A 1,336-nucleotide genomic window follows, 5' to 3' on the forward strand; every position below is an offset into this window, starting at 1 on the left:
TAAAGGGTATTCAATTAGGAAAAGAGGAAGTCAAATTGTCCCTGTTTGCAGATGACATGATTGTATATCTAGAAAACCCCATTGTCTCAGCCCAAAATCTCCTTAAGCTGATAAGCAACTTCAGCAAAATCTCAGGATACAAAATCAATGTACAAAAATCACAAGCATTCTTATACACCAACAACAGACAAACAGAGAGCCAAATCATGAGTGAACTCCCATTCACAATTGCTTCAAAGAGAATAAAATACCTAGAAATCCAACTTACAAGGGATGTGAAGGACCTCTTCAAGGAGAACTACAAACCACTGCTCAAGGAAATAAAAGAGGATACAAACAAATGAAAGAACATTCCATGCTCATGGGTAGGAAGAATCAATATCGTGAAAATGGCCATACTGCCCAAGGTAATTTACAGATTCAATGCCATCCCCATCAAGCTACCAATGACTTTCTTCACAGAATTGGAAAAAACTACTTTAAAGTTCATATGGAACCAAAAAAGAGCCCGCATCGCCAAGTCAATCCTGAGCCAAAAGAGCAAAGCTGGAGGCATCACACTACCTGACTTCAAACTATACTACAAGGCTACAGTAACCAAAACAGCATGGTACTGGTACCAAAACAGAGATATAGATCAATGGAACAGAACAGAGCCCTCAGAAATAACGCCGCATATCTACAACTATCTGATGTTTGACAAACCTGAGAAAAACAAGCAATGGGGAAAGGATTCCCTATTTAATAAATGGTGCTGGGAAAACTGGCTAGCCATATGTAGAAAGCTGAAACTGGATCCCTTCCTTACACCTTATACAAAAATCAATTCAAGATGGATTAAAGACTTAAACGTTAGACCTAAAACCATAAAAACCCTAGAAGAAAACCTAGGCATTACCATTCAGGACATAGGCATGGGCAAGGACTTCATGTCTAAAACACCAAAAGCAATGGCAACAAAAGCCAAAATTGACACATGGGATCTAACTAAACTAAAGAGCTTCTGCACAGTAAAAGAAACTACCATCAGAGTGAACAGGCAACCTACAAAATGGGAGAAAATTTTCACAACCTACTCGTCTGACAAAGGGCTAATATCCAGAATCTACAATGAACTCAAACAAATTTACAAGAAAAAAACAAACAACCCCATCAAAAAGTGGGTGAAAGACATGAACAGACACTTCTCAAAAGAAGACATTTATCCAGCCAAAAAACACATGAAAAAATGCTCACCATCACTGGCCATCAGAGAAATGCAAATCAAAACCACAATGAGATACCATCAAAAAGTCAGGAAACAACAGGTGCTGGAGAGGATGTGGAGAAATAGGAA

The sequence above is a fragment of the Homo sapiens genome, chromosome 3 (genome assembly GCF_000001405.40).
Source record: "Homo sapiens chromosome 3, GRCh38.p14 Primary Assembly".
NCBI lineage: Eukaryota > Metazoa > Chordata > Mammalia > Primates > Hominidae > Homo > Homo sapiens.